The 12,113-nt window shown below is 36.1% G+C and overlaps 1 protein-coding gene across 4 annotated transcripts in view; it reads left to right on the forward strand.

The window, feature by feature from the left end:
- The window catches only part of ZPLD1 (zona pellucida like domain containing 1), a 94,698-nt gene that overhangs the window by 62,587 nt on the left and 19,998 nt on the right, over nucleotides 1–12,113 (forward strand). For all 4 annotated transcript variants that reach the window (XM_017005703.1, XM_017005704.1, NM_001329788.2 and 1 more), the window contains 3 exons: nucleotides 5,189–5,409; nucleotides 8,463–8,644; nucleotides 10,051–10,123. In XM_017005703.1, coding sequence (XP_016861192.1) covers nucleotides 5,189–5,409; nucleotides 8,463–8,644; nucleotides 10,051–10,123 — 476 coding nt within the window. The remainder of the gene's footprint in view (nucleotides 1–5,188; nucleotides 5,410–8,462; nucleotides 8,645–10,050; nucleotides 10,124–12,113) is intronic.

Consider the following 12,113-nt stretch of genomic DNA (forward strand, 5'->3'; position numbering starts at 1 on the left):
AGTATAAAATTGTTAAAACAAGAACAAAGTTAGATATATTATTAGATATGTAAATAATACAATGCAAATATATTTTCAGTAATTGTATGTAAAGGAAAAGGTGTAATTAAATGTTCTAGGAATAGAACTTTATAGGGGGTAAAGAAGTTGAATGAATCCTTATTTATATATATAGAACTGGATCCATACCTTCTTTACTTCCATTTATATAGTAACCACATTCTATGAACCTCAAATCAGGACACATTTTATACACGGAGAGACAGATGGCTGATAATGTGACAGGATATTTAAAATTTGCAAAATTTTAGAAAATCTGAGATACATAAAACCATTGCCCGATAGATGGACGACAGGGTACAGAACATTATTTTTACCCTATTCAGTTGAATATTCAATTATTGTTAATTTCTATGAAAAGCTTAGCTTGATTAATATCAGGGGAAAAACATTGCTGTTTTGGCAATGTAACTGCACATAAACTCTGTCTGCAGGCCTGCCATTTGACATACTTAGTATCTTTAAGCATAAAACATTAAAAATCAAACCCCTAAAGATATCTACTCATTAGGTTGTTTAGTAGTCTTGAACATCATAATTCAGGCCAGGGATTGGACAGTAAAAGGCTTAAAAAGTGTAGCTGTTGAGAGCAACTGTTATTCAGTGACTGAAAAAACTCTCTCTCCTTTTGGCAGAAATTGCCCTTTGGCAACTTGAGGTATCCTTCTTTTTTCCTTCTCAAAGCCTCACAAATGGTAAAGTTGTGCTGAATGGATGTCTTTAGTACCTACAACCAGGAAAAGAATGTGTTTCTCTGAACACTAGTGAAAAGTCCTTAGAAAACTGGGTTAGGAAAGATTTGGACAGATCTCTTTTCTTACACTGCAGAAAGCCTTTAGTTTGTCATCATATCTTAAAGTGGGATAAGCCTGTAGCAAATTCAGTTTCATTGCAGGAGTTACAAATTGGTTATAGGAAAACAGAAAAGAGCACTACATCTGGTCACAGTAATCATTTGCCATTTGTTGAGATATTCTAAGCATTAATTAATCCCCTTAAACAGAGCTGAGGAAACTGGTCTTTAGTTGGTTTATGTTAAGAAGAATGATACCTCTCTTTTGTGACATATTCATTAATAGGTATTCACTTTGGTATACTTATGGTATATCAAGGAGTGCAATGATACTTGTTCTATTTCACCAAGCATAAAGTGAAGTTGTAGTGAACTCTCTAACAGCTGAGGATTTGATTTGACATCCAGGTAGATGGTATCTTAGGCCATTTTATGTATAAAGGTTCCCTGCAATCTCACCTGTGCCTAACACATGTCCTCATTGCCTGCTATTTCCTCTTTTGCATTTTAATTACAAATGGATGGGAACTACCTGGCTCCCAGCCAGCCTGAGCATATTTCATTATTCACATTTGTCCCCTCTGTGTTATAAAATTTCCACTCCTCTATCTAGCTAACTCCTACTGATACTTCAAGACTGAGCTAATGCCATCTTCTCCAGGAAGCCATTCCTAACCAGCTGGTCTGGGCAAAGCCGGCCTTCTACGCTACTCCATAGCTCTCCACGCAATCTTTCTGTCAATGTGGGTCACGCTAATGTGTCTGTCTCCTCTAATGGACTGTAATACACAGGAGTTCCCTTTATCTGCAGTTTCATTTTCATAGTTTCAGTTAACTGCAATCAACTGTGTTCAGAAAATACTAAGTGGAAAATTCCATATATAAACAATTCACACATTTTAAAGTGTATGCCGTTATGAGTAGTGTAAAGAAATCTCACGCGATTCAGCTCCATCCTGCCCAGGATGTGAGTCATCCCTTTGTCCAGCTTATCCATGGTCCATTATCTACTAGTCACTGGGAGCCATCTTGGTTATCAGATTGACTGTCTCAGCATTGCATTGCTGTGTTCAAGTAATCCTGATTTTACTTAATAATATTTACTCATAATAATTATTAGCATTATTGTTAATTTCTTACTGTGCCTAATTTAAAAAATCAACTTTATCATAGGCATGTATATATAGGAAAGAACATACTATATATGTTTCATTATAATCTGTGGTTTCAGGCACCCACTGGGAGTCCTGGAATGTATCCCTAGAAGACAAGAGAGGACTCCTGTGCTTGGGAATATGATCACTATGTTTTGAATCCTCAGTGCACTCTGTTGCTCCAGTACCTTATATGATTAATTAGCTAGTTACTCACTGGAGTACATTGGTTAATATAAAACCTTTCCTGCCTATGGGACTTATAGTTTATTAAGAAAAATATACAAATACATATATGATTCTAAGGCAATACGACAGCATAAAACAGAGTGGCATACCTTAGACTTGGGATCAGGTCAAGTATTTGGGTAAATAAAATTTGAAACCTGAAGAATGAGTAGGAGTTACTTAGGCAAAGCTTTGGGGTAGGCGGAGCATTCCAAACAGAAGAAAGAGCACTGATACATGTACTTTGTGTGTGTTCCTGTATTATGTTTTTAAAAATGCCGTACTGAGGAATAATTTACATATAATAAGATGTGCCAATCTTCAGGGTACTGCTTGAAATGTTAACACATGTACATACTTATATATCCTCCACCCAAATCAAGATAGAGAACATTTTTATCTTTCCCCCAATTGTTCTCGTGCTCCTATTGTAGGCAATTCCACCCCAGGAGGTAACTACTTTTCTGGTTTCTATCACTCAAGGTGATGCATTTAAAGACATGAAAAATGTTCAGATTCAAATTTAGGAAGCAAGATTCATAGAAGAGAGAGAGAGAGGGAGGAGCATGCAGAGGTAGGCAGGTAACAGATTATGGAGAGACTTGAGCACCTAGTTCAAGATTTGGTCTTTTGGCCTATGTCAAAAAGTAGCTGTTGAAAATCTGAGCATGAGGATGACACGACTGGATTAATATATTAACAGCTGTACTAATTGAAGGACATTAAGACTGGAAATAAAGGAACCAGTTAGGTTCCTGGACTAGTACAATAGTCCAGGGGAGAGATAATGATGTCATGAGCAAAGGAATAGCATGTAGATAGAGAAAAATCAGTAGATTTAAGATATAGTTCATAGATACTCATAAACATTTATTAAAATAAACTGTATTATTTTAGAAAAAAGTATCATTTAGAAATTATCTTTGCATTTAAATAGTTAATGTTGCCGAAGTATGAAGATACTTGATTTTAAGTAGTGTTTATTATTTTCTAGGTTGGCAAAGTATACTTCATAATTAATTCATTATTTTTCCACCAACAAAGGAAATATTGCGTCGAATTTCCTATAACACCTAGCCGTTTGCCTTTTGGCCATGAAAAAGATTTTTCATCTTTCTTTATAGGTAATTTTAATGAGTTTAAACTTATTACAAAACATAGACATTTCCATATTGCTTATTCACATTCCCCAAATATGACTCACTTTGCTAGGAAAAAAACCCAGTATGTATATAGAATAAACACTCTAAAGAGATAATGCTATTGAACATTTCTACTGTTAAATTAGGACTGAATTATTTAAGCAAATTAATTCTATGCTAAAAAACTTGAATGAAATTTACATACTACTTAGGTGAACATGCCATCATTCACCAAAAATATGTGTTATTTTGTTTGGTTTTCCTCTTTTGGACAATCAAGGTCATTTCCCCATTGAAAAGCATAATCAGTTTTTGTTTGTTTCTACATGTTGAAAACTTGAGTCTTGTTTCAGGCTTTTTATCTAATTGGTATAATAAGGTAATAAAAAATGGTAAAGTCACTCTCTTAGTTTTCTAGGGCTGCTGTAACAAAGTATCACAAATGATGTGATTTGAGACAACAGAAACTTGTGTCCTGGGGTGATTTAAAACACAGAAATTCATTGCCTCTCAGTTCTGGATGCCAGAAGTTCAAAATCCAGGCAGGGCCATGCTCCCTCTGAAAGTCTGGGAAGAATCCTTTCTTGTCTCTTCCTAGCTTCCAGTGGTTTGCCAGCAACCTTGGGTGTGCCTGGGCTTGTAGATGCATCACTCCAATCCTCTGCCTTCTCATGGTTTCTCCCCGTGTCTCTGTCTCTTCATTGGATGTTTCTTTTATAAGGACACCAGTCATATTGAATTACAGGTTCATTTTACCCCAGTATTACCTCATCTTACCTAATTTAATCTGCAACAACCTATTTCCAAATAAAGCCTAAGGTACTGAGGGTTAGGGCTTCAGCATATCTTTTTTTGGGGGGACATAATTCAACCTATAGCAATTACCAAAACTGATGAATGTAAAATAATCTACCACTAGGGAATTACCTACCAGCCACTCTCCCCATTTCCTTTATACATTTTCTACATTACATGTAGAAAAATAACCAAATAGAGATATGAAGACCGTGTGTGTGTGTGTGTGTGTGTGTGTGTGTGTGTGTGTGTGTGCTCACTTCTATAGACATGGACTAGACCTCGTCACAGATAACCCATGGAGTCATGGAGAACCATGCAAATTGTGTTTTACATTTCCATGTTTAGGTCATTTTTTTTTTTTTTTTTACTGAGGCATGCATAGTCATTGGCAAAATTTTCCTACAGTGAGCTGTGCATTTTTGTTCATAATATCAACACTATTTTTTTATTCCCTTTCTCTCTAGTGTTATTTAATTTAGGCAAAATAAAATTGAAATCTGATGGATGGCTTTTATTTATACAACCCATAAGATGGGTTACCAAATGCCAAAGTACTTGACAATTTGGTTTAGGGTGGATTTCAACTGCTTTCTCCTTATACTTGGGAAAATGCATCATTTGTAGTGATTTTCACTACTCTTGACAGGTGATCTGAATAATCCAGTTGCTCTAGGTCTGAATTTCCTCAGTAACCTGATTGGTTTCCACTCAATTCTCTGGTCATTTGGCAATACTTGATCAACACTTAATGTACATCCACTGGACATCAAGCACAAGGAAACAGAGGTGAACTGTAATCTCTACACTCAAAGATCTCTCCTTAAATAACTAAATAAAAGGCTATTTTTCTTGTCTACTTTACTTAATAGCTGGCACATTGGATTATGGTGTATCAAATATAAAAATGAGTTAAACAGACAAAGGAGATGAATAAATATATCAGTAGGATGTTAATGTTATTTATCTTTCTGCTTTTCTGACTTATGTTTGTTTTTTATATATTTTTATTTCAGCTGAAAGAGACATCAGTGTCTATTGTGGAGTGCAGGCTATTACGATGAAGATTAATTTTTGCACGGTACTTTTCTCGGGTTATTCGGAAACAGATCTGGCACTGAATGGAAGGCATGGGGACTCCCACTGCAGAGGGTTCATCAATAACAACACCTTTCCAGCAGTGGTCATTTTTATCATCAATCTCAGCACCTTGGAGGGCTGTGGAAACAACCTGGTGGTAAGATTAGTGTGACATTGTGTGCTAGGTCTGGGGTCATAAATAAAAATCTCCCCATTTCATGAAAGAATAAGATGCCCAATCTATCTCTTGAGAAAAAAAATAAAATTGAACAAATCACTTTCCTTTGCCTGTTTGAGGCATGCACTAGCAAATATACAATTCTATCTTCCAATAATGGTTATGTTTATAGTAGTGGGGCAGTCAAAGGGTCTGAGGTCAGCTGTGCCCCTCTAAGCAGCATTATTTTGTGTGAGTGACACTGACGGATCTGTCTCTACAGTTTAGCATTAGCCATATTCCTCAGGCTTTATAAGAAATATCTGACCATTCAAACAATATTTGTTCCAGTGAGTCTGGCAGTGAACCGCTTGGCCTGTTCTTTCAGTGACCTCATTTGTAAAGAAAGACGAAAGATAGAATGGGAAGCTTGTAATCTTCTTTCATGCTTACCATTGAATGATCAACACTAGTGCTTTGTAAAAAGGGGCTGTCAGTATTTCTGGTATAATATTCTTAAATGTGTGGGATTGTCCTTTGAATTTCAAAATGTTTATCATATCCAGTCTTACCATGAAATCCCAGTAGCACACTCTCTCTAGTCATTGTGAAAATTGAAACATCTCTTCAAACATTTCCACCCTGAATTAGAAATACTAGTTTGTAGCATTCATTTGTTTACTAATGCATTGAACACCAAAAATAGAGTTAAATAAGGAATTGACTCTCCAGTGAATTAAAATTAATAGAAGTGAATATATTGTGATTTGACAGGAGTATTAGTTAAATAGTTATACTGAAATTCACTTAGTACTATTTTTTATTTTGCTTATTTAAATATAATCTTATTGGTAAATTTGCAAATATAAAAAGGAAGTGCAATAAACATAACCACTTAGCCCAGGGAAGGAGATATTGACTTTTACTCTTCACAAATTATTATTTTGTATTAAGGAGAAAGGATTGATTATTCCAAGGCCAGGGTTTCTGAGACTCAGTGGGAGATGGAAGACAGAGAAAATAGATTTCTTTGAATCTTGTTCTTTATCTTTTCCCAGAGGGCAGTTAGAATATTGTGCCCGTGACCATTTCCAAGCCTGCAGCTTGAGTATTGTTGACTCTTTTTATTAAAAACGTTTATTCAACTCTCTGAGTTGTGTGCAGAGAGGTTATGAAGTGGACCTAAGGGAGAGTGATGCAGGTTGATTATTACAAGTCCCTGTTCTGTGTGGAAGGAAAGAGCCTATGTGGAGATGAGCAGCATTTCCCTGTCTCCCACCATGCCCTGAAGCCTTTCCTTCCCTTTCTTGTCTGGATGTGTCACCTTGCCCTGCTGCCTAGAAAATGATTCAGGAGAAAAGCCAGGAAAAGTGTGCAATGTGTGTGCTGTTTACCTTTTTAAAAAGCTGAATAAGTCCGCTATAAAAATTGCTAGGCTGGGCACAGTGGCTAACTCCTGTAATCCCAGCACTTTGTGGGGCCAAGGTGGGCAGATCACCTGAGGTCAGGAGTTCGAGACCAGCCTGGCCAACACGGTGAAACCCCACCTCTGCTAAAAATACAAAAATTAGCTGGGCATGGTGGCGTGTGCCTCTAATCCCAGCTACTTGGGAGGCTGAGGCAGGAGAATCATTTGAACTTAAGAGGCGGAGGTTGCAGTGAGCCGAGATTACACAACTGTACTCCAGCCTGGGTGACAGAGTGAGACTTTGTCTCACACACACACAAAAAATTGCTATATACATGTATGTATGTATTTTATTTTCATAGACAGAATTGGTTGGTTTAGCTATCAAATAAAGCAAGTAGTGGGAGGAGGGGAAGATTTGCTTATCTTTCATTTTTGCCTTAGGTGCTACCAGCTTTGGCAACTGCTCTAAGATCATTCCTTCATGGGAAAAAAATTAAGTTGGCTACTAAGTCTCTGGATTGGAATAATGATGTTTTCATTCATAAAGATTCTTGTCCCATTTATCAATTAACTAGATAATTGCCACAGCTTTGCCCATGTGCTGTTAGGTTCATGCATAAAGTTTACTCTATTGTTGAAAATTATCACAGGTCTTAGTAATATAGTAGTATCTGCTCAAATATTTATTGAGTGCTCTCTTGTATTTGACAAGGTCGAAGAAGCTAGAAGAACTCTCTGGTATTATGAAGGTCAAAAAATTATTGATTATTCCTAAAGTGGTGGATCTTAAATTTTAGTAAGACTGGAGAATTCAAGGAAAGCTAAGCAGACCCTAGAAAATACACATGGACAACATTTTTACATAACTTCTGAAAGTTCTTGAACCCCCAAAACCCATCTATAAGCTATTGTCCTAGAAGTAGATAAGTATCTTTATGAACTAGAGAGGAAGACCCTGAGAAGATTAATCCTCAGAAAATTTATGATCTTCATTCATTTGTTTGAAAATCCTTTCTGGGGCCCAAAATGCTGATCGCTGTGCTATGCTGAGTTTGCAAAGGTGGACAAGATGGTCCCTGCCCACAAAGGGTGTTGATGATGGCTGAGGGAACTGCCCAGCGAGCAGGCTGCTCTTCCTCTGCCTACTAATATGATGGAGATAAACATTGCATATGGGGAGTCAGGGGAATTTCTTAGGGAAGGTGAGATCCTGGGGAGGAGTAGGATACATCATGGGAAAGTGGGGAGAGTGACAGCATTATCATCAAGAGTTGGAGCCTGGAGATATGAAGCTAAAGGGAAAAGGATCATATTAACAGGGTTTTTTTCAGCCATGCCAGAGAATTTTGGCTTCATCCATGAGTGTTTTCAAATTACTTATTGTAACCCTTCGAACCTATAATCTCCTTTCTTTTTTATAAAGTATGAGTAAAGTGTCTTTGGTAAATATGAAGTTTCATTTACTTACATGTCACTTATAAATTGCATTTCTCACTTATAAACTTGATATTTCAAAACCTTCTCATTTTATAGTTGAACTAGACTCTAGAATAGATTTTGCTTAATGTTTTATTTTGCATATGAAGTGCCTAGATGTATATATAGCCATTTAATCATTAAACTGCATCTAACATTCTAACAGGTATCCACAATTCCTGGAGTCAGTGCTTATGGAAATGCAACTTCAGTGCAAGTAGGAAATATTTCAGGATATATTGATACTCCAGACCCACCAACAATCATCAGCTATCTACCTGGGCTTCTTTACAAATTTAGTTGTAGTTATCCATTGGAATACCTGGTTAATAATACCCAGCTTGCTTCGTAAGTTTGCATTTTATTCCTGCTTTCTCATATTGCATTTTTGCTTCAGGCATTTCGTATCTTTCAGGGACTTAGAAAGATAGCAGGATTTATTAAAAATAGTTAAATTCAAACAATGTAATGGGAAACATATTATGTCTAATATATTTACCTCTATCTGTTTATCTATTATATCTATCTATCTATCTATCTATCTATCTATCTATCTATCTATCTATCTCTAATTGTTATGATCCATAACAGACCCAAACCAGTTTTTCCCCCAAATCAAGCTGACTCAAACTAGCCAGTTGTCTGCCTTGGGTTCTCTTCACTCCCTTTGCCCAAGAGCCTTGGGTGTTTCATGGCCCTGGAGGCCCTGTGGCGTCTCCAGTGTGTACGACATTTGGTAACTACATTGCTGAATTTTGCTTGGCTTCCCTCTTGGCCATATGCTTTCACTGCTGGGCTGTGCTACCCCAGATTCTGGGATCTCCATTCCTCTGTTGAGCTGTCACCTGGAAGGGTGCTCATGATTCTCCCAGAAACATGGCATGGCCTTTAGGCAAGGAGCTCCAAATACGGACTGAGGGTGTAGCCTTCTGTTTATATTCACGTATGCATTATTTCCAAAGCACGTACTCCAGGAGAGGGCTATGCCCACATTAAAATATAATCACCTGGATTTGTTGAATATTTTTGACAAAATGGGATGATTAAGCGAACGCTTTCTCCAATTTTAGGATTTGCTATTATTAAGTCTTAGTTATTGCTTAATCTTAGTTATGAGGAAATGTGGAGGCCACATTCTACTTCATTGAAAAAATATTCATAGCTGGTTTTAATAGCACAGTAATGATAAGCACCTTGGTCAGAAGCAAGACTTTGACATGGAAAATGAGAAAGGAAAGGCCTCGAGTCAAAACAATATGGGTGTACAGGGAAGCATCTCTCACTCTGCCCCCAGTCCACACACTGAACACATTCTTGAGTTTCAATTCCATGGAAATTCATTGATTATTCAATTTATCATTTACCTACTATTTACCATCCAATGTTCTAGCAATGAACAAAGTAAACCAGATTCCCTGATCTCATGAAACTTCTATTCTAATGGAATTGATGAAAGTGTATTTGCATTAGATTCAAGCCCTTATCTGCCAAAAGCCTGTTAAAAGTAATGCAAAACAAACAAAAAAGATTGCTTTAAAAATAAAATGATCATAAAGAATAGCTTGTCTTTACTTGTTCCCTCTTGCTTTTTTAGTATTTTATCTGTTCAGAGATTTAAACAGTATAGCAACTCCAGGTATAATTAACAGTATGTCAGAATTATTCAGGAGTTTTAGTGCTTTAAGTCTAACATCTAGGTATCACTTTTACTCTAAAATCTCATCAGTGCTTTCCTTTTTCTAAATGTGTTTTAGGTCCTCAGCGGCTATTTCTGTGAGAGAGAACAATGGCACATTTGTCAGCACTTTGAACCTGCTCCTTTATAACGTAAGTTGATGGGTGAAGGATGTTATTTTCTCTTTCACTGTTGTGAGGAGTCATTTATGTGAATGGCTTTTATATAAAAATCTACTGAAAGCCACATTAACCCTGTTATGCCTTGGTAACATTTATCTATTTTTGCTACCATTTTCATATATCTTAGTGATAAAGGTATAATAATATCTCCATTAAATTTTCTAAAAGTTGATATAAGATTTAAATTTTATATCGTAAGTGTGATTTTAAATAATTACTTCAAATGTCTACCTACATTTACATGTATTTATTTGTTTATTTAGGTAGGGGTGTGTGAGTAGCTACAGTTAGCTTCAAGATTTAGGAAATATATATTTTTTTTATGTGTGATACAAAGATTTTAACAGTACAAATGGTGTTTCCCTTGGAGGCATCCTTGGTGATGAATGTGTTAATATTTTCAATATGGGTTTTGGCTGATGACAATTCTGTCACATCTGAAATAATTTGGATTGACTACATAGCATTATCTAAATTTTTGTCATGTAAATATCGACATTGGCAGCAAAACGTGAAAAATACATGGATTTCTATTTATACCTCTGACATTAATCCCCCAAATGATATTTTGATGTTGATTAAAAATTTTTATTCATACATTTTAAATGCCTGATTTAAATATCAATTTTTCAATCTATCAACCAACATTTCTGTAAATTATGAATCGGATTTTTGCATTATTATTCATGTCATCATGGCACTGAGTTATAATTCATGCAACTGATTTAAAAGTCAGTGCTTTATACTTTGAATATAATGAGCTATAAATATTGTAGTAGGACATTTTCCAAAGGCATTTAAAAAAATCATGTTTATAAGTTTGTAGTCTGACACCACAGAGTTCTAAACAACAAATTAAAATGTGTTAGAATCAAGATTGCCTTTCTGTCGTTTCTAAACTTTCTTCTGCAAAGAGAAGCTGTCGGCCGGGTGCTGTGGCTCACGCCTGTAATCCCAGCACTTTGGGAGGCCGAGGCGGGTGGATCACGAGGTCAGGAGATCGAGACCATCCTGGCTAACACGGTGAAACCCTGTCTCTACTAAAAAATACAAAAAATTAGCCGGGCGTGGTGGCGGGCACCTGTAGTCCCAGCTACTCGGGAGGCTGAGGCAGGAGAATGGCGTGAACCCGGGAGGCGGAGGTTGCAGGGAGCCGAGATAGCACCACTGCACTCCAGCCTGGGAGACAGAGCGAGACTCCGTCTCAAAAAAAAAAAAAAAAAAAAAAAAAAAAAAGGAAGCTGCCAAGATACTTGGTTCTACAATACTCAGCAAGCGTGTGCCAGTATTCACTTTTGATATGGTCAGATATTTACTATTGTTGTTAACAATATTTATATAACTTTAAACTGGAAAATTCCCGTCTGTTAATTTATATGCATAAGCTGTCTGAGCTTGAGTTGAGATTACTAGTTGGATTTAATATTATTTGTTCTAATTGAGTGAGACAAAGATGAGAATTCCTGATTCTAAAAAACTGAAAAATATGATCCATATGACATGTAATGATACTATTATTTTCTGTGAAATTAAACTATTCTCTCACTGAAATAGCAGAAAATCAAAATTTTGAAGTGTGGATTTCAGGAAGGCTTTGTTATTAAGGTCTTTCTTTTATCATTAAGAGATGGTACTGTAGTTCTGTTGCTAACAAGGTATAATCCTTAAAAGAATCTCTGAAATTGTAATGCTTAAAAAAGCCTATAATTAGATGATAACCTTAATATTTTAATTATACGATAACCAATTTTTTGATATTAGACTACAAGTGAAATAGATGGTGCCAAAATACTTCTCTTTTTAAATCAGTTATAGAGCAGTTTTAGTTTGGCAGAAAAGTTGATTAGAAAGTACAGAGTTCCCACATATACCCCCTCCCCTTGCACATATTTTTTTCTATTATTTACATCTTGTGTTAGTGTGAAACATTTGTTACAATTAATAAACCAATATTGATACA

This window comes from Homo sapiens, chromosome 3 (genome assembly GCF_000001405.40).
Source record: "Homo sapiens chromosome 3, GRCh38.p14 Primary Assembly".
Taxonomy (NCBI): Eukaryota; Metazoa; Chordata; class Mammalia; order Primates; family Hominidae; genus Homo; species Homo sapiens.